Raw genomic sequence first — 27,565 nt, forward strand, 5'->3', positions numbered from 1 at the left:
TCACGGCCGTTGAAGTGGAGTCACAGGGTTAGGAAGATCTAAAGTCAGCCTGTCTGGTAAACGTGCATGTCATGAGGGTCACTAAACTCTCAGCCCAACCGCGCACTTCTTTGTACATGTCTCTTCCGACTCAACAGACCTGCGTTATCCTCCCTGTTGCTCCATCCTCTAAAACCCCTCTTTCTTGAGTAACAAACTGTCCAGTATTGCTAGACTTTTATCTGACTTCTCCAATTCCTTTCCTTACCTGACACCCATATGGGCACTCAGCCAGGCGTTTTTTTTGTTTTTTGTTTTCTCTGAGACAGGGTCTTGCTATGTCACCCAGGCTGGAGTGCAGTGGTGCAATCTTGGCCCACTGCAGCCTCAACCTCCCGGGCTCAAGCGATTCTCCCACCTCAGCCTCCTGAGTAGCTGGGATTACAGGCACAGGTCACTACACCTGGATAATTTTTGTATTTTTTGTAGAGACAGGGTTTCGCCTTGTTGCCCAGGCTGGTCTTGAGCTCCTGGTTACAAGCGATCCACTGCCTTGGCCTCCCCAAGTGTTGGGATTACAGGCGTGAGCCACCATGCCCAGCAGAGATTTTTTTTTTTAATTGTATAAATCTGATGTACTTTTTGGTTTGTTCCATGCTCCATTTTTTTTTTTCTTTTTCTCTTTTTTTTTCCTACCAAAAAAAGGCAAAACCTTCCATGTTCTTCAAGGCCAGCAGTGGGTGAGTTTCTTCCTGGCTTCCCAGGGTTGCTTCCAGACCATCGCTCCTTATTAAAACCCTGCTCCTTGTCCTTTCTCCTCATAATATCGGTTAACGTTTATTGAACACTTCTAGGAGCTAGACAGTGTACTAATCATTTTGCATAAATTATTTCGCTGAAAACTCACAAAAACCCCATAAGATAGGAACAAACCTTATCATATCATTGTGAGGTTTAAAGAGGACAAAAAACTTATTCTCATTTGTGTAATGTGAATTCAGAAGTGTCTAACTCATTGGCTTATTGTGAGGTATAAATATATGTAAAGTACTTAGTAGATACCATCTGAGTGTTTGGTGTTATTTTTGTTGCCGCCAGGGTCTCTGTGAGAAGGTGGTTAAGCTGGGATTCAAACTCTAGCAGTCTGACTTTAGAGCACGTATCCTTAGTCATTATGCATGGCCAGGTGATGTTTTACCAACCTCTCTTCATTCAGGGGAGATATCCCTGGCTTACAGCTTTCGAAGCCAACTCTGCTGTAGTTCTCATAGGCTGTTTCATAATGCCTAGGCTGACTCATTCTCCACCATTGCTCTTATTTCCTTTGCCTTCTGATATGGTTTGGATCTGTGTCCCCACCTAAATCTCATGTTGAATTGTAATCCCAGTGTTGGAGATGGGGCCTGGTGGGATGTGATTGGATCATGGGGGTGGATTTCCTCCTTTGGTGCTGTTCTTGTGATAGAGTTCTCACGAGATCTATTTGTTTAAAAATGTGTGGTTAATCCCCCTGCCCCCACTCCTGTTCCAGCCATGTAAAACGTGCCTGATTTCTCTTTGCTTTCTGCCATGATCGTACATTTCCTGAGGCCTCCCCAGAAGCAGATCTTGTCATGCTTCCTGTACGTCCTGTGGAACTGTGAGCCAATTGAACTTCTTATTAATTACCCAGTCTCAGGTATTTCTTTATAGCAATGTGAGAATGGACTATTATACCTTTTCTGTGACAATGTTCTTCTTTTAGCTTCTCTACCTTAACTGCCAAAACATCCTGCATCCTGCCTCTGAAATTTCTGACTCAGGTACTGTATTCCACTTTCCAGCTGCAGGCTAGTATCATTTCACTGAGAACTCCACTCCATTAATGCCACCACAGTTTCATTATCTATCAACTATCCCTCACTTCCCTTTTTGTCCAGCTTAGATTTTATGGTAGAAGTCATAATCATGTCCCTACAGACACTCTCACCTCCCTTATTCAGTTCTGCGATGAGCACACTCATCTGCCACAACTTTAGCACTGGTTGGACCTATCTACCTTCTTTGTATTTAGATCTGAACAAATGTGTATGGCTGGAGAAAAATCAATAAGGAGGCTGCCTGTTTCATTAAATAAATTCATCATCATATTTAGGTGCCTTAAATAGGTACTCTGCACTGCCTGACAGTGTTTCCCTAATAAACTTAATCATTCTCAAGAGAACTGTTTTATACTTTCTCCCCTCCCCCTTACATCTTACTCACTCTCACTGATGACCTCATTTCTTATTTCATTAACAAAATAAAAGTAATGAGATAGGAACTCTTTAAACTTCCCATTGTCAGGCTCTGTATGGCAGACACGCCTGATAGCCGTAACTTAAGCATACACTGAGAATGATCCTGTATGGCAGATGCACCTGAATATGTGTTCAGAGTTACAAGTTAAGGAAACTGGGAGTGGCCAACTCAGAAATTCATTTCTTATCTATGAAGAACATATGAACCTCCACCTGTCCCATGGAACACGGGCTGTGCAGGGGGTTGAGGCCCTTTGTTTTGGGTTAAATGAAGGCTGTGAGGTGGAGGTTGCTGGAGGAGGATGCTATGCAAAAATGCTATATAAATTGCATGTTTTTTGCAAGTGGTAGCAGTTCTGTCATCCAACCCATTGCCACTGGGCCACTCTGTATCTAAGTCCCCTTAGTAAACCCTATGTCTTGTTTGCTCGCTCTGGGTCTCTTCTTGAGCCTCTTGAACCTGATACCATCCCTAATGAAGTTAATAGGGATCCAGCTTGACAGGTCCATAAAACCACCCCTGCATTAGTTCCCTCCTTTCCTTGCTTCTTGTTAATGTAGAGGAAGTGTCCCTCTTCTTGTCAAAGACCAGCCTCTACATGTGTTCTGGATCTGACTCCCTACTGTTTTCGCAAGGACTTTTCTGCATGTCTAACTCTCCCTCTCAGTGGGGATTCTTCTCTTAGCATTCCGCAGTGTTCCAGGCTGGCCCCTCTTAAAAGCTCTCCTGCAGCTGCATATACTTTTCAATTTCCGGGTAGCTTAGATCTGAAGTGGACCGCTGTCTGCAGTCTCTGTCTCTGCTTCCTTACCCCACATTCACTTTATCCCCACCTCATCAGCCCTCTCCTATTTGGCATCTACACCACTGTTCCACTGAAACTGCCTTTGTGAAGGTCTCCGATGAGCTTGATGCTGTCAAACCAATGGATGCTCTCCAGTCTTTAGTTAACTTGCTCACAGTATGGCTCCATCTTTTCTTTCAGAATCACATCTCCTTAGAGAGGCCTTACCTAATGACTCAGCCTGAAATATTCTCTCCCTTCCCCCCCTGTGGTGTTATTACATCACTCTGCTTCATTTTCTTCATAGCACTTATTATCTGAATTTATCTTGTGCTTATTTGTTCATTTGTTCACTGTATGTCTCATGCCTCCACCTAGAACAGTGCCTGGCACATCACAGATGCTCAATAAGGATCTCTGGAGTGACAGACAATGCTTTATTTAGAATCATCTCTCCCCTTCAACAACTCAGCTTTTGTTAACTGGATGGAGTTTGTCTGCCTGACTCTCTCTAACATCAGGATGAGTTCACTGCTGACAAGCTGCCTTGCCCGTCAATCAAGGAGATTTCCTGGTGGGCCCTCTCATTTTTGGACATATCTAAGCCCCATGTATGATCGGCCTCATTTTGGATCTGGGCTTTCCCTCCCTTTATTCCTTCTTTTATTCTGACTCACTCACATTATTCTGGCCACAGGTTTCTAGTCTTTTATTTTCTTTTTCAATATGAGCCTCAGTTATAAAACCTCCTTCTTTCTAAACACTAACTACAGGCTTCTCTGTTGATGGTAATGAACAGGCATCTCAGAACCAGTTTGGGAATGTAGCAGTCTTACATTTGCCCCATAGTCTGGAAAACTTCCTTGTTTTAGGGCCAGCTGGCTAAGCTCCAGATCTTGTCTCCAGTCTTCTGAAATCTTAAGTATCTGGGTCAAAGTTATTTGCAGACTTGACTTTGGTTATTTAGCCACAAAACTATTGTGGCCATCCTGCGCAGCATACTGACAGTGAAAATTAGGCGTGTTCCAATGATAAGTCCAACCTGTATGTTTTTCTAGGGTGTGTTTGACCAGCATGACAGGGAAAACCAGCAAAAGTACCAGAAAGAATATCCAATTAATAAATATCACCAACTGCCAGCCAGACAATGTTATTTTCCATTCTTCTATTGTTAAACAAACATGAAAACAAAACCCACAAAGTTATCATTGAGAAATTTTTAATGATAACTTCACTGTATGTTTTCTTTGAATTTGTTTCTTTTAACCATGATTTAATGTTAACACAAATATTCCTATATGCACAGAAGCGTAAACATTTTCTTGAGACCTGGACTCAGCATGGGTATATGCTAGAAATCTAATACTAAAAAAATGCCCAGAGCATGACCCAGTGCCATTGGTTGTTCAACTTCAGCCCTTATTCTGACTATGTCCAATAGCTGTATCTAGGGTGGTCATTTAATTTATCATCCAAACTGGGATACTATTAATAATTATGCTGGAATAGTATGAGTAGACATGGGCTGTTCTGAGAAAATGGAAACGTATGGTCATTCTTACCCTAACTTTGTATAATAAGTGTGGAACTCTCCAGCCTTCCCCAAGCAAACAAAGGCTCTGGCCTTTGCAGCTGTAACTCAGTACTGCCCTTGGTCCACAGGCTTGAAGGTGTACAGAGGCACAATTAGTCACTAACTAGAGCCTTCTTTAATTGCTATAAGTGCATTTTAGTTATCTTTTCACAAATTCATGATAACAGGGACCATATTAAGATTTACCACTGGGCTTGGTGGCTCACGCCTGTAATCCCAGCACTTTGGGAGGCTGAGGTGCACAGATCACCTGAGGTCAGGACTTTGAGACTAGCCTGGCCAACATGGTGAAATCCTGTCTCTACTAAAAATACAAAAATTAGCCAGGCCTGGTGGTGGGCACCTGTAATCCCAGCTACTCAGGAGGTTGAGGTAGGAGAATCACTTGAACCTGGGAGGTGGAGGTTGCAGTGAGCTGAGATTGCACCACCGCACTCCACCCTGGGCAACAAGTGCAAGACTCCATCTCAAAAAAAAAAAAAAGGTTTCCCACCCCACTTCCCACAAAATAAAGTAGGCCCTCAAAAATTCACTTTTAGAAAGAAGGAACTGAGAGGGAGGCTTGACGGAACAAGCTTCCATTTTCCTAACACAATGACTGTCTAATTCAACCCATAGGCTGTTATGGTAAGTTTGTGTGTGTTTGTGTGTTGGGCATGGTGGAGCGGGTGGGAAAACAGAGTAGAAAAGTACTGGGATTGGAATTAGAGCTAAATTTGCTTCTCTGCCCAAACTGTGAGGTACATATATACATATATATGTGTGCATGTGTGTGTGTGTGTGTGTGTGTGTGTTTGTGTACACACACACTTAATGGAAGAAACATATGAACCAATGAGTTTCTTAGAGAAAGTTTCTTAAATGACTGCCAAAAGCAAACAAATAATCAATTGGAAAATGCTTATATTCCAATAAATTTTTTAAAAAGTTCATGGTACCAGATTACTCTTCTTCTCTCCTTTGGGGTCATCAACTCCCACCTCCCTCTTGTTGGCAGCCTTGAGCTAAAGGCTAAACTATATTTGAGCATTTCCAGTGGTAGTAAAATTGTTATCTGCCTTTGAACAGCTGTCTTTTTGTTGTTTTATTTCATTTTAAAATAAAAATAAATATGCACATAAAAATTGTGCATATTTATGGGGTTCAGTGTGACGTTTCAATACATGTATACATTGTATAATCATCAAATCAAAGTATTTAGTGTACCCTCAAACATGGATCATTTCTTTGTGGTAAGAAAGCTCTGACTCTATGTCTTTCTTTAATTGAACTGAAATCTGTCATCCCAGGTGACCAACTGTTCTGGTTTGTCTGGAGCTGTCCTGTTTTAACACTGAAAATTCTGCATCCCAGGGCATCCGTCAGTCCTGGGCAAACCAGGACAGTTGGTCACTCTGCCTCTAATTGCCATCTGTTGGCCTTATTCTCCATCTTGGGCTATGCGAAGAATGCTATTTTTTCTTCCAAACAACATCCATTTTGACACATTTAAGGCACATTCCTCTAGCTCCAATCATTCTTACCTGACACAGCTTTAGATTGTTTACTTTCCACTATATATGCTCAGAGTGCACTATCCCCTGTTCCAGGAGGAGCTTTCTGTTCCAATCCACGTTTCCATAGAGAAGGGGAATTTCTCTTCCCTCTCCCTGGGGAGGGTGGGTGTGAACACTGGTTTCATCCTCCACATTCTCTTTCATCCCTCTGAGAGGAAGAGTTACAGTAAACCTGGTTTTTGAGAATCCCACATCCTTTGGGCCAAGGGTCTCACAGTGGCCAGGATTCCTCGACCTCAGAGGTGACAAACAGGCTCTGTACTGCCTCTTCCACTGCCTGCCTTGGCCTCATGGATTCACAGAAAGAACCTGGCTCTCCTCCTTCCTCTTTTCTGCCTCTAAGCAGTGAACACATTCAATGTAGAGAGGCAGCCTAGAAGGAAGTTTCATGTTTTTGCTGTAATTTCCAATTTCCCTACTTCCTGGGTGAATGCTTAGGTCAGCTATGCCCTGTAAGCTTGGTTGTTTTTCGTTTAGAGTGGGTGGGAAGGAGGAGGCCCCCCACTTTCTCCTGTTTTTCTAGAGCGCCCAGCACATTGAAAGGTACACTTGTCATAACAAGTCTAATTCTTTGATTCCTCTTTTGGTTTAATTTCCCACACTTTTTTCTTCCTTGCTTGCAGTAGTGATGGAAAGGAGAAGTGAATCTCTGAACTTTAAAGTTCATTAACCTGGCCTGTAAGATGTGGAGTAGCACTGAGTACAACACTGAGTGCCACACTCAACTTTATTTGCTCCAGTTCTAGCACTTCTTTAATCCAGCCTGTGACCAAATCAGTTTCGTACTGACTTTATTGTAGATTCAGTTTTCTTACTGATAACTGACATCCCTGATAAGGCACACATTTCTCCCCACATGTGTGCATTGATTGCTTGTATCAAAGTCCAAAGATTTGATAATCTCTGTTTCTGCTATTCCCTTCTCAGCTCACGGCTATGAGGCTCCTGGTCCCCAACACTTCAGAGCAAATGCTACCACTAAGCTTACTGATGACTTTCACTAAATGATGATCTTCATCTGTGACTCCTCCGCCTTATCTCTATTCACTTACTCTTCTGTGCCTCCTTCAAACCAATGGCTTTATCTATCACCTATGTATTGATGATTCTCAAACCTATACTCATGTTCCTGACCTCTCTTCTAGGCTTCATATTCACATAATCCACTTGTTTGCAAGAGAGCTCTATCCAGATATCATACTTGCACCTTAAATTCAACATGTTCCAAATCAAATTCATTATCTTGGTATAAGATTTTGATTTTACTCCAGTATTACCTATATTGGAGACTGCAACCACTATTCACATAGTCTTTTAAGTCAGAAATCTGATTACTCTTTATAGTTCTCCTCTCTTTTTCTTTCTCCATCTTTAATAGGTCCTGTTAACCCCACTTCCTAAATATCTTTTACAACCTTCTCTTGCTCTTTGTTCTCATTGTCGCTACTTTTCTGTGCCCTTTCCTTTTGGCATTGCTTCAGCAGCTTCTGAATTGTTCTGTCCGCCTCCAGTCCTGGCTGGCCCCATTGTCCACACTGTTGCCAGAGGACCCTTTCTAAATGGCAAATCATACCACGTCATGCCCTACTTTCTAAATCCTCCATAACCGCTCATATTCTTCAGAATATGGATCAGATGTTTGGTTTAATATGGAATGTGTTTCATGGCTTGTTCCCTGACTATGCTTTAGCCACATGTCCTGCCACGTCCCTGCCTCTTGCACCATCCTTCCTCCCATTCTCAACAACCTGAGAGTTCAAGAGTGTGTTACGCTGCTCTATGCCCCAGTGCCATTTCCACACACACTGCTTCCTCTACCTGGAGTGCCACTTGTCTCTCTCCCCCAGCAAACTCCAGCCCACCTACCCTTCAGGCTTATGTGAGGACTCACCCTCTGCAGATGTTCCCCCGACCCCATTATCTCCTCACCAGCAACCAGTCTCATTTTTGATGCTCCTATTGAAATCTAACTAAAACTCATGGCTCAATAGATGGCCATTGCAGCTCTACACTGAGGTGGCTCAAAAGATTATTTATGGGTGGAGTGTAGACTTTTCTGTAGAAAGCCCTTCTACATCTATACTATCAACAAAACATATATATATGATCAATGTCCCAAAGCTATACTATAGAATGCATGGGCACGTGTATGTGTGTGCGTGTAGATGGTGGTGGATATAACATATCCTGGAATATTTTCAAAGGAAGACTTGTCAGTTGCCTGTAACAGTCAGAGGGAGTTCTTAGTAGTTTGTTCAAGAAACGTCTGGTTTAGTGAAACTGAGCAACAGAGCTTCCCAGTGAAACTGCCAAGTTCCTATGTAACCACATGAATGATTGTTAGATGGAATTATTGAATATAAACTAATTAAACCAGGGAATAGCTGCCAAAAATAATGATTTTTATCTTTAGAATTATTGGTCATAACCTATTCTTTCTAACACTCAGACAGCTGAACCAATTAATTTTCTATTACTGTTATTAGTTCATGACAATAAAACTTTGTCATCAGCATAGGAAAGGGATATTTTTCTTTCTCTCTATAGTTGAAGACTGTGCGTTTAAATATCCTGAGGGGGTTTTGCTTCATTAAAATATGTTTAAGAGGTTTAAATTATAATTTGATCTTTTAGGAAGCTTTCTACGGATCCCACTTCTCACAGTGATGCTAAAGAGAAGGTTCTGTATAAGAATTGCCAGCTGGGGGGCATCCAGCTTAAACTAAAGCTCTTGGTTTGCAGAGTTGAAAGCTGAGGACAGTCAACAATCTTTCATTTATACCAAAATGACTGCCTGTGTGGCCAATACTTGTTATACTTTTGTCTTGACAAATGTCTTCACAAGGTGATTAAAGTTTAACAGGGTCTACATTGAGATAGGGAACACTGAAAATTGCCAGCTCGACTCATGCTTTTTTAGCCTAAAAATTTAGAACTAAATGGACATATGGGTTACCTACAAACGTGACTGTAGTTTGAATAAGCAAAGGATTGTTTATTTTTACAAATGAGACAACTGATATTTCATACCTAGCTAGCAAATATCACACCTAGATGTAATAAAGACCAATTAATTCTCAAGAATTGAGAGCCATCAGTGAGAACAAACAAATTCATTTTCTGGATATGGTTTATAAAACAGAGAAAAATAAGTCTCCTAGGTGCTAGTAAGAATCCAGGCTTCTGCAGACTGTACCTGATCCGTGCCACAGATAAGTTCATCCCCAATTACACCTAGATGTTTAATATCTAATTAAATTGATAAATGTCAAAAAAAGTTGTGTCGAAGAACATGTAATTAAGAAAATTCTTATCAATGTATATTTCATGAAAAACAAAATATTTAAATGAAAAAGCTTAACAAAAGCATATATAGTACGATCTTAATTTTTAAAGATGCATATATATGCCTATAAAAACATTGATGAAGCATTTGGAAAGGCATTTTATTTGTTTGTTTATTTTGAATAATTAAAGTGAGGGGAAATGGCCAACACCATTTAACTATGCTTCAAAATCCATCCTCAGGATTATAGTAAGCAGATAGAGGCAAACTGTACTGTAGTCTCCAAACATGTGGCCCTCCAGAGATGGGTACAGGAATGAACATCTCCTCCATCTTCTCTCAAGTGCTATCTTGGTTTCTGTTTTTGATTCTTTTTGGTGAGGAGTTTTTAACAAGAGCTGACATAGCTGATCCTAGAAGAATGGCACGGGAGGAGATGGCCCTCTACCACACCGACCCTGGCAGAGCATGGTACTCTGTGGGTAATCAGTTCACACAGAGCAGTTTTCAACTGTACTGCAATTGTTTGTCTTCACTACCATACAGTTGTGCTCATTATTTCTCGATGTGCACATATCTGGAGAAGCCCAGAACTTCTGGCTCTTACATGGAGGACCCCAGTGCAGATGAACCATTTTCACTGAAGAAAGACATTAGGATTGGTTTGGGGAGGCGAAGTAATGTTTTTCCTTGTTGCTGTCTCTGTCATATGGTACATAGGCATATGGAAGGAAGGGTAACCACTCCTGACATCACTGTGAGCATTGTGTGGGCATGTGTGTTTGTGCGTGTGTGTGTGTGTGTGTGTGCGTGCTTGTGTTCATGGGTGCATGAGGGGGTATGAAGAGGATGTGGTGGCTTGGTCTGTAGGATCAAAGGGCTTGAGCAGCATGGGTGGACGTTGCCTGCACACACAGGGATAGAAAAAGGCATGTTTTTGTTTCTGGTGGTTGGGGCAGATGGTGGGCTCATTCCAGCCTCTGTGTGCTTCGAGAAATGAGAAATCAGGCAGCACAGGGAGCTGAGCGGGCCCGGAGCTGGTCCTGCTAGGTTATGAGTGAGTGAAGGAGTGGGCTGTGTGTGTGTTTCCAGCTTCTACTGTGGGAACGACTTCCATACAGGCCTTAAATAGGAAAACTACTAGCAATTCTAGCTCAGTATCCTTTTTAGATATGCATGAGGAGAGAAAGTTGGGAGACACACATTCAGCTGGCAGGAAGTTCCTTTTTTGTGCCGACTCAGACATGGTTGAAAGCTGTCTCTACAGGACAGTACTCATGGCATTTTAGGCTGAAGCTTTGAAGCTTTGCCTCACTGCAGCTATTTATAGAGGAGCTGATTTTTATAAGAACAGAAAGTGTATTCTTGAGGGCAAGCTTTCCTTTCTTTTAAGATTTCTTGAAAAGATTTAGAAAGGTTAAACAGTTACTACAGAATCTTATGGTAAAAGGCATAACACTGTTTAGAGTAAATAAGGGAGTCTTTATGAAAACACCATGATGCATATACAGTAGCTTCTGCATGAATCAAATTGTATGCTTTGAAAGCATAATTGATATTCTTAGGTGGGATGATGGCTTGGTCCTGTCAGTATACTGAATAGACCAGTGCCAGCCTGTAAGGGATAATGATTAAATCAAAAGAAATGACACCAGCAGAGGAGAACAAATAACCCATATTAGAATATCAGCATGAACTTGAGTTTGGGAATTATTTATAACCTTGAAATTCAAAAATAATTTCTAGGGAGCACATATGAACACATACAGATGACTTGTCTCAGCATCTAATAGAAACTGCTTTTCACTGGTTTAAGTAAATGGTAATTCTTAGGTGGAATTGTGTATCTCTGTTAGGAAGATTATGATAATTTGCTTGGTCTTGGAAATCATATGAATAAAAAAAGAGCACAATTCATAGATGGAGGGCCTCTTTTTTCTTCTTTCACTTTTTCTTAGCATATACATTTTAAAAAGTAACTATTTCAGAAAGCAAAATGAATACAAGTTATTGATAGAGTGTGTTGCAGAAGAATTTTTCTTTTTGAGCTTACAGTTCCTATGGGAAGGAATGCAGAATTCTTCTAGCTATTGAAAAGCATTGGAGTGTGATGGCAGAGCTTAAATAATGTCCTGTTTTTAGTCAGGGAAAGGGTTCGATATGTCCCTTGTGTACCATGGTGAGAACAAATATACAAATACTTACATGACATTGGGCTGTCTTCCTCTAAATGTTTTTGTTCTGTCAGTGGTGTGAAGGGGGGAAAAAGCCAGTAACTCATAAAAATCGCATTTCTCCATTTCATTTCAGGTGCAAGTTTTGTTCCTGAGATATATTCAAAGTGGTGAATAGGACAAAATATGTTTTGTGTTCCCATTCATCTTTAAAATAGCCTCTTGACACTGTTAGCTTGTGACCAGGCAATTACTTGGCACGTAACCCATGCAGACACCACCCTTGACAGAATTAGAGGAAATTCTTCTCCAAGGATGAAGTGTTCTTGAACAATTCACTGGAAGCACTAGATACAAATTCGCTCTTTTTTCTATATCTCATGCATGCCAACTTGCTTGCTTACTCATTTTCATGTGTTATAAATGGTTTTGCTTGTTTCCTGTTTCATTTCCACAATTATCCCTTCCCTGTGGTTCACATCAGTTAAGCAGAAGATGGAGGTATTCCACACACTTGTAATTCAGGTCTTCTCAGAGCATTTTTTCTGGGTTATTTTAGAGGGTGCTTACATGGTGTCAGCAATAACCTACATAATTCTTCAAGTGTCATAACGTCTGTAAAAAAAAAAAGCCTCCATTTAGCTCACTTTTCTTGCTGAACAAAACGCGTTCTCTGAGCATGGATTATAGTTATAAAGAATAACATTTATTCCAGCCCAACCTTAGGCTTCCCTATGCTCAAGTTATAGAGTGAATGACTTGCTTACTTAGGGAGACTGTTAGCTGCCATTCTGGATCTTCAAGGGGTAGGGTAGAAACATCTTCAGCACCACCCCACCTCCCCAAATGACAGTACTATATGTGAGGAGAAGAATGGGGGTACAATCCTGAGAATTTCTTGAGAAGCACAATGCCCTAACTACTCCCACCTAACCTCCTGCCCAAGAAAACAGATACAGAGACGCTCATACCCTTTATCTGTAGTGTTGTGTCAAGGAACATTTTTAAGCTCAGTCTCCTGAACTCATTCTCTTGGTCTTGCCTATTCTCATTCTTTCAGACTTCTAGCTTCAGATCCCATTTTTCTACCTGGCCTTGGCCTTGATGCTTTAGACTTTCCCTTGCCTTCCGGCATACTCATGTCTAGGATGACTGCTCCTCTCTGATTTTATGTCCTGCTTCCATGGGTAATCTTTACCTCTGTGTGGCTTCAGATTTCTCCCTGCTCCTTACTGGTGCTCATCACCAGCAACAGCCTCAAGGGACTGTGGCCAGGGTCAGAGTTAAAGGAAGGGGAGGCTGTAGAGAAAAGAAAATGCTTTTTCTTCATCCTCCTTTGTTCGAATCATGGCCATGAGTATCTGTAAGCTATGTGCAGAATTCTAGCAAGTTGTGCATGCCTGGAGAGATAGAGAGTTATAAGGAGGAGCTTTCTTACTCATTTACCTAAGACTCATTTTAAGCCTCTTTCCTTTCACTCGATAAAGTAGACCACTCTCTCATGATATCCATGAATTTATCTTTTACTCACGTGAGTGTGTCTCTGTGGCTTCTGTGTCTCAGTGACAGTTTGGGAAGGATTGATCTAAGGTTGCATTCCCTGTTTGCCTTCCGTGGCTTTCCTTGTGCTCTGTTTTCACCATAGCAAGGGCAGGAACACCAGACAGTCATCCCCAAAGCAAGCCAACGTCAAGAGGAGAACTTGAAAAGGTCTGTCCACTGGGAATGTGTTCATAGGTGGTCACTCTTCACCACATCTTCTTACACAGTGCTTACACAGTGCCCTGTTGTGCTCTCCTGAGGGACACGGGCATGTGGAAATCAGGAGCCAGGCAAACCAGCACAGAAAGCACTCATGGTTATTACAAAAGTGGGGTTCAAAGCCTCACAACATTTTAATATTACAAAGAGTTAGATTTTAGCGTTCTATTGCTTCAAAGATTATAAAATGAAAGTCTTCTTCTGCACTGTTATAATAAGCATGGATCTTTTGAACATATTGGGCAGACTTCAACATAAATGATGATAGTGGTCTCATTCCCCTGTTAGAAGTTTTATCTTGGAATCTGAGAATCATTAAATTATTATACAGTTCAGAGTGGTATTGAATCCATTTATTTTTGCAGCACCAGAGCCAAAAAAAAGTCTTTTAATGCCTTCCTAAAGACTCCCACTAGTAACAGTTTTAAATAAGGTGAAAATATATTTGTGTTATCTAAAGTTTTAGATTAAGTTTGCTTTGGAAAGATCTCTCAAAAGAAGAATTGTTTGAAGCTTCTAGTTGATTTAAAATTTATTTTATTATAATTTCAAAGGAGTTATCATTTTTTACCACTTACCCATGGCACAGAAGACATTAGCATTCCCAGGCAATGTTGGTAAGGTTAGGTTTTCAATGTGAGATGCATACTGATAAATAATGCAGGTTCTTTCTCTTATCTCTATTAGTAGAGATGGCTTAGTGGTATTGAGACTACAGGAAAATTATAAGTTGATATAACTCTGACAGAGGATAGCCCCCTGCAAAAAAAGTTGACTCATAATCTCTACTTTGGAATTGACGCTTTAAATCCATTCCAATCACTGTTAGCCACACTTACGCTGATCTGTTAAAAAAAAAAAGTTGAAAGCACTGTTGTTTGAGTGATTCGATACTAATTTTTGGAACATTTGCTATATATGTCAGGGACTGTGCTGGGCCCCAGGGATAGAGCAGTGAACAAAAAGACAAGAGCCTGCTCTCATAAAGTTGTGAAACAACATACTTAGACGACTCAAAGCCAAGAATCAAATAAACCCTACTGGTTTTCTCCAGATGTTTTTGTCCTTGCCTTTTCCCCCCTCTAATGAACTCCTGGCTCTAGACCCAAGCATTGGCTCCCACCATTTGGGAGCCATACCATATTTGAAGCTTTGCCACTCACCTCTGGGCATTAAGGATCTTTGCACAATTTACCACTTTCAGTTTTGCACTTCTCTTTGACTTCTGCTTCCCACATTGCTTCAGGCTAGGACTTACTGCAGGTGACCCTGGCCCTAAAAGACCTACCCGTTTCTACCTCCCCATGCCCTGACACCCAGAAATCTTGGCGCCTGCATGGTGATGGTTTCTGTGACCACAGAGTCCCCTTGGAAGTGATGTGGATCTGTCTCTACTTCCATGATTGCAGCTGGGAAATTACATGGAGAAATTTGGGGGACTGTAGCTGAAACCCCACCATGACAGATATTCAAATATGAGACAATAATGCAAGGATGACAATAAATTGGAAGAAAAACTTCTGAGAATTGTTTGATTTGCCCTCCTGATAGTTTCATTTCTTATAAATAAAAAGGGGAGCTGCCATCTTGGATCTAATTCTGATGAATAAGGGAAGAAGCTGTTGCTGAAGTGGAAGTGACTATGTTATCCTATATGTACTAACCAGAGGAAAGAGCCCTCAACTTCTGGGGAGAGGCGGATTTTTCAAAAAGCAAAATTCTAAAACCTAATATTCCAGAAGGGATCCAAGAGGCATGAGTGGCTCTTAAAAATAAAATTTAAAAAATAAGATAAAATAAAATTCTGATAGTCCTGCAAGAAATAGTTCTTATAAGGGATAAAAGTTAGTCATCTAAAGAAGTAGGGAGCTCTCAGGTGAGCTCTCATCTTGAACTGTAGTTCTTATAATCCCATGTGTCGTGGGAGGGACCTGGTGGGACATAATTGAATCATGGGGGCAGTTACCTCCATGCTGTTCTCATAATAGTGAGTTCTCACGAGATCTAATGGTTTTATAAGGGGCTTTTCGCCCTTTTACTCGGCACTTCTCTTTGCTGCTACCATGTGAAGAAGGACGTGTTTGCTTCCCCTTCTGCCATGATTGTGTTTCCTGAGGCCTCCCCAGCTCTGTGGAACTGTGAGTCAATTAAACCTCTTTCCTTTATAAATTACCCAGTCTCAGGTATGTTTTTATTGGCAGTGTGAGAACAGACTAATACAGAACATAAACCTGTTCTTGGAATCTAAAGTGAGTGTAGATAATGAGTAGCTGTTTTATCAAGCCATGTCTTTCCTACTCACCCTTGTTCAGTTTACTTTGTTTGCCCTTTAATGGTTCCTCTGGCTTTTGATTTCCTTCTGCTTGTGAATTTACCTATGTATTTAAATTTCTCTCTCTTTCTCTCTCTCTGTCTCTCACTCTCTCTCATCTCTATATTTGTTTCTTGGAATATCTCTCCTTGGATTTCAAACCTACTTCAACCTATATTTGCATGTGATCTCTTTCTCCTTCATGGTCTTGGTATACTCCTGGTACCATACTTACACTTTATTGGTTTCTTCTTCCCCTTCCCTAACCCTTGCTCCCTGTTGTGATGGCCAGAAAGACTCTGCAGAAAGACTGTGTCCTCAGTAGGGGTGGGGGACTGAAAGATTCGGAAGCTTTCTACAGTGATGCTTCCTTCTCATCAACCCTACCATGCCAGCTCCACTTTTTACATTCAAACACTTACCTGAAAATTTAAAGATAAATTCAAGAGTGAATTCATTCACTTTACAAAGTAAAGAGGGATGAGAGTCCCTTTAAGTAGCATCTTCTCAAGTGTTTGTTTACAGATCATTAAATATTTAACTTAGTAAGAAACTAAAAGCTGAAAATGTTCCAAACCACTGTTGATTAAATAGAAAACTGGAATTAAGATAAGGCAAATCTGAAATTGAAATAACAACCAATTTGAAATTTTCATGTTATTAGACAAGAAGTTAAAATACTTGACTGTCTGGTTCAACAGGGGACATCTGGCAAGCCCAGGTCTTGCCTTTTCTGGCAACTGAGACCTGATGTTGAGCTTTTGGGTCATTCTGAAACCTGTACTGCATCTCTCCAGGGCAGAGGGTGCCTGCTCCATTCTTAGCCCTGCTCCCTACCCGCTTTTGTGTCTTCACCCTTGGCCAAGATACAAACGATTGAAGGATGAGCTAGTTTCCAAGGATGAATATTGCTAACGTGGCTAAAAATACAAGAATATAATCAGCAAGTCTAATCCGCATCATAAAAGTGCTAAAGATAATATAAAAGGATGTCCAGAACTGTACCTTGAACCAAAGAATGAGGAAGAAATAAAGGCTTGATGGAGTAGAGATGGGTGGGGTAAGGCAAAATGATTGAGAAAACAGAACCACTCAACTTTGAATTCACCTTCGTCTACTGTAGCAAGGAGAATGATCTTCAAACTGGAAAGAACAAAGCAAACATAGTTAAGAAGGAACAGAAACCCCAGATAAGGAAAGTGATAGTGAGAAAACACTTAGCTGACAAAGCATTCAAGTCTGTGGATAAACTGCGTTCTAGTAGAATTACAGTGTTTACAAAACTACTCTTGGTAATTGTGGAGAATTTATGAAGAGAGATACAGAAAGACTAGATGGATAAACATCTTAATTTTTTTTGTTTTTTTTGATATTGTACTTGATATTATATTTGGTGTCTGTTATATATACAGCAAATTGCAAAAATAGATGATAGAAATATATATTATATCTAATATAATGTATATTAGGCACCCTGAAACATGTTATGAAAAGACTAGCTCCAAAAGATGAGAGGGCACTGGTCATGTGGAGCAGTTGTCCTGGCGACGGTGTTGCAGAGACCTCATGTTGAATTCGTGTCTGCTTGTCCATCATCTGAGCACAGTGCTCATCATGTTGCCCCATCTTAATGGTTAATGAGGGGAGAAAGTGGATTTTAGACACTAAAGACAGATTAATTTGAAATCAAGATCTAGAAAGGGACATAATGACTCCTAGTATCAGCATGGATTTAGAAAGTATTTTGTTTCCTTTTTTCTATGTGAGTATTTAATTTCTTTTTATAAAAATTGCTGCACACTATGCCATTATTTACTTTACTGATTCAGGCATTTGATAAATACATACATATGAAGTACTTACCTGGCTCTGAGTCCAAGTATGGGAGGACAGAGATAATCAGACCCTGACTTTGACCTTGAGACCTCCCAGTCTATTTGAGAACATAAGGAATTGTGAAGAACAGAACAGATCTGGGTCAGTAGATGATGACTTTGGTCTTTGGGTGTGGTGATTTTGAGGTGCCATGGATCTCCAGGTTGGGATATCTAGTAGTCATTTGGAGATGTCTGGAGCTCTGGACAGAGCTCTTGTCTGGGAATATAGGTAGGAGGTAGGTAAAGCTGTGGTCATGTTGAGAAGAAATGAGAGTGAATTATGGAAAGGGCTCAAAATATAGGTATCAGGAGAGGAGCCCGTTACTGTGACTGAGACAGAATCAGCAGAAAGTTAGAAGGACCATGAAAGGCTGCCAGGTGGAAACCAAGGGAAGTGAGACCATCACAAAGGAAAGGATATGGAGGTTAGAAAGATGAATTCTGCAGAGTCTACTACTTCCAGAATTAGATCATTGATGGTCTTAGGTAGGACAGCTTAGTGGAGTGGTGAGGACAGCAGCCAATAGCAGTAACCTAAAGAGCGATGGATGTGAGAAACTAAAGTGCCATGGTTTGGATGTGGTTTGTCCCCACCAAAACTCATGGTTAAATTTAATTGTCAATGTGGTGGTTTTGGGAGGTGGGGCCATTGAAAGATGATTAGGTTGTTGAGATAGATTAAGTCTTTCTTGAGAGACTGGATTAATTTCTGCAGGAGTGGGTTGTTATAAAGTGAAGTTGCCTCTCACGTTTTGCTCTCTGCATGTGTCCATTTCCTCTTCCTCTTCTTTGCCATGATGTGATACAGCATGAAGCCCTCACCAGAAGCCAAGCAGATGCTGATGCCATGCATCTTGGACTTCCCAGCCTGCAGAATCATGAGCCAAATAAACCTCTTTTTAAAAATATGTAAATTACCTAGTCTCATGTATTCTGTTATAGCCCCAAATAAATGGACCAAGATCTGGAGAGAGTGAATGAAGATTTTTATGGTCTTGGTTATGAAGGTTAGAGTAGGGCATGAGGTAGATGGAGAGATTTTTTTCTTTCAAATGATGATACAGATGTAGTCATTTTCTAATAGATAATGCAAATACAGCTTCTGTTTATTGAATATTTAGGCATTGTACTGAGCATTTTACCTACATTATACCATTTAATCTTCATACCATCTGTGGAGGTAGGTACTATCATTCTCAGTTTATAGATTAAAATATTGAGGCTTAGAGATGGTAAGTCATATGACCTCAGTACACAGATTGGAAGGGGCAAAGCAGGGCTCCAAACTCAGATTTCTCTGGTTGCAAATCTCTGTTTGTACTCAATATGCAGAGCAGTGGTTCTCAAACTTTAGCATGTATGAGAATTACCTGGAGATAAATACCTGTTGAAACACAGACTGATGGGCCCTAGCTCTGGAATTTCTGATTCAGTAGGTCTGAAGTGGGGCCTGATAATTGTGCATGTCTAACCAGTTCCAGGTATGATTCTTGTCTCAGGACCACACTTTGAGAAACACTAGAAATGCAAACTCTTGGGTCCTAGCAGTCTGTATTTTACCAAGTTTTCCAGATGATTCTGATGCATGCTAAAGTTTGAGAACCACTTTCCTAAGGTAAAGAAGAAGTTGGTGGAAAGAAGGATGTGGAAAATAAAGGAGAAGAAAAAGTGATGCATAGAGGACCTGGAGGGGATGGGAAGTGCTGGGATTCATGACACAGGTGGACCTGGCAAAAAGAGTGAACTAGTTCTGAAGTGGGATGAGGTGGAAAGAGGGGATGAGGATTTGCAAATGCCTGAGAGAAGACTGGGGACTGGAAAATGGAGAGCAGTGCTATGGCTTTCAGTGTTTCAGGATTTTAGCAAGACACTTGACAGTACCTCTTTTGATATTTGTTTTGGAAGGTGAGGAAATGAGAACTCACTGAGAGTGTATTAAGTGGCTTTGAAGCTGGCTGTCTCCTAGAAGAAACTTTCAGGGATGTGCCACTACGTTCTGTCGAACTTTTAATCAACCAGTGGCAAAGCACAGAAAGTACACTCTTCAAATCTGAAGATGACATGAAGCTGGGAGCAATAACTAATTACTGGACAGCAGAGTCAGGATTCAAAAAGATACTGACTGGCTGGACTGATGGGCCAAATGAAACAAGATGAAATTTAATAGGTATAAATGTAACTTCCGGCACTTAAGTTTTTAAAAAAATCAACCTTACCATTAGAGGGGAAATTTTAGGAACCTGAGGCCAGTAGCTCAGGCAGCTCAGAATTGTATTAGCCTTATGGCTGCCTGGTTTAGCCTTAAATCTGGGTTCTATACCAAAATTATTGACTTATTCCTTATGCCAAATTCTTTCCTTGTCACCTACCTCTGGTAACATTTAACCACCTTTTGTTCCTGTGTCTCCACGTGTTCCACACTCCTGACCTGGTTTTTCTGTTCCTAAGTTTTTCTGGAATCAGAGTTGGCCTTTACTCTTGCCATTCTTTCCAGAGCCCACAGTCTTGGCCTGAACTCAAGTGCCCACATCTCTCTAGGATTTCAGCCCCTGGGGATGCCTGACCTCCCAGATACCTATCACATCTCTTCACGTCTTAGTGTGTTATCTGTCTGTGATGCATCGTAGCTGTTGCCAAAACTGTGTGGGTCCTATTGCTACTTGGCAGTATTTCTGACATCACCTGCTTGCCTGCCACTTGCTCTTGTTTTCTGCTGTTGGGTCCACCCAAAGCTACAGGAAATACATAACTGTAGAGATTTCTAATGAAGTTTCATTTTGAATGAGTGGGAGCTTTAGTTTCAACTTATGTGTAATTGCTCACAAAAATAAAATCTTGTACTCATATTGCGCTGTAAAATTTATGAAGTACTTTCATGTATTTTTTTTTCATTTAAATTTGACTGTAATCCTGTAGATAGGTTTTGGAATCTTCATTTTACAGCTGAGGAAATTGGAGCTCAGTATGGTGAAATGACTTGCCTAAAGCCACACAGCTACTAATTGGTAGAACTGGGATGGAAACCCAGGCCTTCTGATGCCAGCTACCGCCTCACATCTGCACCTGTTAATCAACTGTTTGAAAACTTGGTTTTTCTCCCAAGTATTAGCTTTTTCTAAAGACACATATATTGTGAGAGTGTCAAGTAGATAATGACTCCAGTGCGTTCAAGTACTGCAAGGCCTTGAGAAGGGATTACCAAGTATGACATATCAGAGGGTTTTTTAAAATTATTATTTAACACATCAGCAACCACATCACACTTAAACTCTCAGTAACTAAAATAGATAATTGTCTTAAGGAAACATAAGCAATGCAGCTTAGTTCAGTGGTGAGACATCATTCATGTTTCTCTGGTTCTTGTCTAGGCCCTCATTAGTTTATGTTTGGATTTCTGTACCAATGGTTCACTGATGCACCTGGTTCCATTCTCTTTAGCACCAGTTCATTCTGCATCACACTGTGAGGTGACTCTTTCTTAAACATTGCTTTTATTATTGCCTCACCTTGGATCAAATACTTTTATTGGCTTCCTCTTGCCTGCGGCATCAAGTTTAAACTCCTTGCCTGGCTTTCAGTGCCCTTCATAATTTGATCGTATATTATCTGGCACAAACCTATTCCTTAGGAAAGACCAATCTCCTCTCTATTTTATCCATGCTGGTTAGTCTTCATGTTTTCTGAACTTCTCAGAAGGAATTCACTTCTTCACACATTTTAGTTATCTACCATAGGCAGTACACTGTGCTCAGCCTTGCATACTTGTGGGAATATTATTATAGTGACTGATTTAGCTAGAGAAAGCATTTGCCACCTAAAACAAGTAATTGTAGTGGAAAGCCAGGTTTCCAAGCATGACTGAGAAAATTTCCTTGAAGAGAACACAGATTGGGAGTTTAAAACCAACCCTAATAAAAAAAAAAGCTTGATCCTGAGGAAGATATTGTTTGAAATCTGTGAAAATTGTGACTTTACAGAGGTCATGAAATCTCTTTGTTTCAGATATGGAAAGAGCATGAGAGGTTACTTTTAGATGATAAATATAGTGTAGTAGGAAGAATAAGAGGTTTGGTGTTAACATCTCATCTCTAACATTTACCAATTTGTTAACTTTGACCAACATTTTACCTCCTCAGGCCTCATTTTCCTCCATCTGTAATATGATAATGATACTTACCTAGATATATGGTTGCTGAAAAAACAAATGAGTGAAGTGACGTACATAAGTGTGTACAGTACTTACCACATAGTGTGGTGCTTAATAAAGGAGCTACTATTACATAAAATAAATGTTAATTTGGATGTTATAGTGTTTGGTGGGAAACTCAGATCCAGAGTATCCTAATCCTGTCTTATTTTTTAGGAGATACCCATGCAAAATAAACAACCCCAAACAGATGCACATAAGGCAATTGTCCTCCAACTCAATGTCCTGGCCTTCCCTGGAGAGCTGTAAGTTCTTTCTCTCAGACACTAAGGAAGAGACCAAAGAAAGAGGCATGTGCCTCAGTGTGGGCAAACCCTTCACCTCCTGTAGACATCACCCTTTCACTCTCAGTGCACTCCGTCATGGGCTGACATGAAGTACGCAAGAGCAGGAGACCGTGCATCTCCTTGCCTGGTCTAGCATCCAGCGTCCCAAAATCTTACTGATATGAACTTTCTTCCACAGACTCAAATTGTATATTTTTTATTTGAATACAAAACAGAGAGAACTGGCCCTTCTTGGGGACAGTACTTTAGAAAACAGGATGTCAAAAGGTCTCATGTGGAATCTATTTATCTTTAGGCAGTCATTGGACTATAGGTTAAAAATAATAACATGGGGTCCTGAACACATAAAGAACAATTTGAAACAAACTTTGGGCCTTTTTCCCTCTAGGGAGCGAAAATTTGGAAATTTTAAATTGCTTGGCTCTTCCCAAAAAGAGGAAAATAGATGTACTCTTTGATCTAACAAAAAAAAGTAACTAAATGATGTGTATTATGGCCTTTTGAGGAAGAATGAAATAATTGAGGAAGAAAAAAATTAGGAAAAAAGAAGGGGAGAAACCAAGGGAGAGAAGGCGATGGGAAAAGCAATGCCTGGGAATAAAGAAGGAGTAAAAGGAGAAATAACAAATGCATGGAAAAGAGGGAGAGAGGATAAGAAAGAGTGGAGGGGATGGGCCAGGGGGAGATATCTATGTAGAAACATTTAATTTCAATATGGTAGCTGAGAAGACTTTCCTGGTTATCTCTGTAACTCCATACCAGGCAAGGAAATGGGGACTGAGACTACAAAATGAATGTATGTATGGAGCGGAGGGGAATGGTAGGAGTATGAGAAAGCCCAGAAAACAACAAAAACAAGGGAGAAAGAGTCTTCTAAACCCCCAGCAGAGTTGCCTACAAGATGAGTTCTATGTGCCTGGCAGGATACCGAAGCAGTGAGGAGAGGAGTGGGCCTGAAGAGACGGGCTAATGAGGATGTGATTGTCATCTGGGTGACAGTGACCTGTGAGGACTGCTGAGAAAAGACCACAGGGCCCGAGGGCATCTCACTGATGCTGCCATGGATAGACAGTATCCCAAGGGGACAGATCCTGTATTGACTGAAACTTGAAGTTCATTGCTCAGAAGAATGGGGGAATTCAAAATAGAGATAAAGTTACAGAAAAAAAAAAGGAAGGTATATTTATTTGTATGAGAATTTAGTGTCTGAGAATTTGGTCCCACTATATGGAAAGTAAGCATGGTTATACAGTTACCTTATTCTGTGCCTGTACTAGGCTGAATCGTGCCCCCTCCACCACCCCTGCCCAAAACAGATGTCCACATCCTAATCCTGGAACCTGTGGATATTAACTTACTTGGAGAAAGAGTCTTTGCAGATGTAATTAAGTTAAGGATCTTGAGATAAGGAGATCATCCTGGATTATCTGGGTAGGCCCTAAATTCAATGACAAGTGTTCTTATGGGAGGCACACAGAAGAGAGACACAGAAGCGTAAAGGATGTGCAGATGGAGGCACAAGTCAAGGAATCCTGATAGTGACCAGAGGCTAGAGGAGGCAAGGAACAAAATCTCTCCTGGACCCACTGCAGGGAGTGTGGCCCTGCTGACACCTTGATTTCAGACTTCAGGCCTCCAGAATCGTGAAGGACTAAGTTTTTCTTGTTTTAAGCCACCAAGTTTGTATTAATTTGTTACAGCAGCCACAGGGAAGCTAATAGTGTTCAAATTCATCTTGCTAGAGATCTGTCTCCCAGAACAATTCTGAGCAAACACTCTTTTCTATAAATTAAAGTGAACACTTTACATACTTGAAGACTGACATAAAATGGCAGAAATTCAAAATAAAAGGAGATCTTAGAGACAGTCTAATTGTCTTGCATTGAGGTCCTTTGCTTGTGGTTGGCAAATGAAGTACTGGCCAAACAAAGATGAGAGCCACGTATCTGCCCTCCCAGTTCAGTGCTCTTTCTCCTACCCTGTGCTACCTCGTTGTAAGAACATAGGCTGTGTGTTCATCTGTTTTCATGCTGCTAATAAAGATATACCTGAGACTGGGTAATTTATAAAGGAAAGAGGTTTAATTGACTCACAGTTCCACATGGCTGGGGAGGCCTCACAATCATGGCAGAAGGCAAATGGGGAGCAAAGTCACATATTAATATGGTGGCAGACAAAGAAAGAGCTTGTTCAGGAGAACTCTCCTTTATAAAACCATCAGATCTCCTGAGACTTACTATCATGACAACAGCATGGGAAAGACCCACCCCCATGGTTCAATTTACTCCCACCAGGTCCCTCCCACTACACTTGGGAATTATGGGAGCTACAATTCAAGATGACATTTGGGTGGGTACACAGCCAAACCATATCAGGCAGTATCTTACACATGTTTCATATATTCATCTATCAATTATGTATTGATCACAAATGATGGGCACTCTTCTAGCTATTAAAGATATAATAAAATATATTTTTAAATTATAGTATATGTTAATGTATGTATTGGGAGAGGGAGTGGTGGGAGTATGAGAAAGGCCAGGAAACAACAAAAACAAATCTTAAAAATAGGGAGAAGAGTCATCAGCACAGTTGCTTACATAGAGAAGGTGCTCAGATGTTGGTTTACTACTTTCGCTTTCAGTTCTTTTCTTCCCTAAAGCTCCTAAGGAAACTCCAAGATCATTTTTGACTCTGGCAAGCTGCATTACACAGCTCCAGTTTCCTAACATTTCCTTGATGGATTATTGTGGTTTCTTAAGAATGATCTCCTTTAAAACAATATTTATGTTACTTCTTAAAAATGTAGCATGGCATTTAAGGTACAAAGATAGATGTAGCCTACATGGACTCATCCATATTATCAACACTGATTAAATTCACCCTGTGGAAATCGTGCCACACACAGGCTTGGTAAAAATAAAATTCTTAACCAGATTGCAAATCAATTAGTAATATTCTGAATCATATGTTCCTAAGCATTATACTTAATTTTAAGTTTTCTATAGTGATTAAATATCCTTTCACATGTTATGTTTTATATCTTAGCCATTCTTAACAAATTTTGGTTATGCTGGCATCTTGCTAACAGAATACAAAATATTCCAGCTTCCTTAACAGCACTTCTAATAATGTTGTACTTACACTTGTCATCAACACACTTCACAGTATTTTTTTTCTTTTAGACCAGAATTATATTAGTATTTCTCATAGCATTAAAAAAATTCCAGTTTTGCCCACTAAAAGGTCATAGTACTTAGACAAGGAAACTGATTATATTTCTTACGTAGACAAATAGAGACACCAGGAACACTTACAGACACAGTCACAGGCTGTGAATACGTAACTCCAAATGCCTAAATAAAAATTCAACATCAAGTTAACTTCCAATTACTTGGATACTTGCTGACTTTTGGGGAGTATTACATTTAATGGAATTTTAAAATGTTGTACTAAAAAACTTTCTATTTTATAGACTGTGAGCACCATGAAAATGAGGTAATTTTTATCTGTGTGACTTCAACAAGTTACTTAATCTTTTTGTGCCTGTGTCCTAATCTTTAAAATGAGGATAACAGTAGTAGGTACTTCAGAGGCCTTAGTGAAGACTAAATGACATATATATGCCAGAAAATAGAACACAGGCACTTGACATAGACTCTTTATTGGTATGCTTGCTGCCTTGCCCAGTGACTGACACAGAGGAGATGATCAATGATATTTGTAAGTGAATATAGACAATGACAGGCATAGAGGGAGGAACCTGGAGTGCCCCCACAGAACATGACTTAGGAGCACATTTACAAATACATTGTGTTTCCTTATTCCAACGCAGCAGATATTTTCTTCCTTTGCTACCATCTGGCTTTTAGACTGGGTGGTTGGGGAACAGAAGCAAGAAAATGTCATGAAGTAACTTTGCAGTCTCTTCACCACTCTCAGGGCAAAGGTGTCCAGAATTTAAAGTTTATTTGGGTCTCCACCCACCTACTGATTTAGTGTCCCTCTAAGTCTTTAGTGCCCCTGTGAGAGTCCTACTAGAGTGTTAATGGGTTGAGATTGAAATAAAAATTGCTAACATTTATTATGTACCGAATGGGCCAGGCACTAGAGGAAGCATTTCACCTGTTTTATTTCATTTAGGCTTCACAACAAACAAAAGAGGCAAGCACTATTATTTTGACTACTTTATGGAAGGAGAAACAGAGAGTTAAAGAGTCTGACTGACTTGCTCAAGATCACCTAAATTTGCGATGGATGGTCTGGAACCCAGCTGGGGCTCCTGCAGTTCATATTCTTATTTAGTCGGTATTCCATGTCTGATGGCAGCCTGTGATCTTACACTCAAGGAAGTTTGGATGTCTCCCAATATTTCTCCCCAGGTTTAAGGAGTCACTAGCTGGTTGGACATTATCAGATACTGGGAGGTAGCAGTGAATATGATCACTGTCCCCATTTCACTCAGTGTGGCTAAATGCTTTTGTTCATTAGAGAAAAAAAATGAGATGGATGAGTCTCCAAGGGAGTATTGGATTCAATTACTTTAATTTTTGTGTGTGATTTAAATGCACTTACCACAGTTTAGAAAACAGGATCTGAAGCTCGGAGAAATATAACAAAGCTGGCATATGGAAAATGAAATCTAGGCCTTAAATCTCTCTTAGTGCAGCATTTCTGCTTCTTCTTCTGCTCCCTATGCAAGAAAAGTAGTTATTTGTAGGAAAAGAAGAGCAAGAAACCAGGTGAATTTTATATACTGGGCTGAAACAAGGCCAGTGGCAATGCCACTATATCAAAAAAAGTTGTGGGAAAACCAATCTTAAGACTGGTTATAAATGAACAACTTGTTGCAGACAAATGCTCCTGATGGGAACAGCTTAAAACATCCAGCTAAAATAGAAAAATCGTATGTTTTAAAGTCTTGGCTAATTGTCCGGGCAGTCAAGACTTGAAAAGCGAATAACAGAAAGAAGGGAAACTAACTAAGGTGAGCACAATATTAGAAGCTGGGCAGAAGGTGACAGCCAAGAGAAAATGAGGCCAGCAGAACTTTAAGCAATTGCATAGCCATGTGAATAAAAAATTAGAATTCTGGCCAGGCATGGTTGCTCACACCTATAATCCCACTGCTTTGGGAGGTCGAGGTAGGAGGATCACTTGAGGCCAGAAATTTGAGATCAATCTGGACAACAGCAAGACTCTGTTTATAAAAAACAAACAAACAAAAATAATTAGAATTCTACTTTGCCATAATAGGCAGAGCTTAAAAAGCCAAGATCCTAGAGAGAAATGAAGTACAGAGAAGTGAGCCCAACACTTGAGACATTTACTGATGAAGATATGCAAGGCAAGAGGCTAAAAAACTAAGCAAAAAGTAACTGAATGTAAAAAGGAATTTTATGCAGCCTCGTGTGCTGGAGAGACAAAAACTGGAGTTCAGGAATTGGTAAGGAGGAAGGGCGCTAAGAA

At 40.4% G+C, this 27,565-nt stretch overlaps 1 long non-coding RNA gene across 1 annotated transcript in view, besides 1 other annotated feature; it reads right to left on the reverse strand.

Moving 5' to 3' along the window:
* Window positions 1-9,621: 9,621 nt before the first annotated feature.
* The window catches only part of LOC285762 (uncharacterized), a 38,756-nt gene continuing 20,812 nt past the window's right edge, over window positions 9,622-27,565 (reverse strand). The window contains exons 3-6 of the long non-coding RNA NR_046100.1: window positions 26,672-26,789; window positions 13,993-14,259; window positions 13,185-13,450; window positions 9,622-12,268 (exon numbers count right to left, since the gene is read on the reverse strand). This is a non-coding gene — a long non-coding RNA (uncharacterized LOC285762). The remainder of the gene's footprint in view (window positions 12,269-13,184; window positions 13,451-13,992; window positions 14,260-26,671; window positions 26,790-27,565) is intronic.
* Window positions 16,708-16,767: an enhancer, noted in NCBI's record as "active region_25018". NCBI's record gives its function as "activates an Ori minimal core promoter by ATAC-STARR-seq in GM12878 lymphoblastoid cells {active_cell/tissue: GM12878}" and the evidence as "EXISTENCE:reporter gene assay evidence [ECO:0000049][PMID:35858748]".

The sequence above is a fragment of the Homo sapiens genome, chromosome 6 (genome assembly GCF_000001405.40).
Source record: "Homo sapiens chromosome 6, GRCh38.p14 Primary Assembly".
In the NCBI taxonomy this organism is placed as follows: domain Eukaryota; kingdom Metazoa; phylum Chordata; class Mammalia; order Primates; family Hominidae; genus Homo; species Homo sapiens.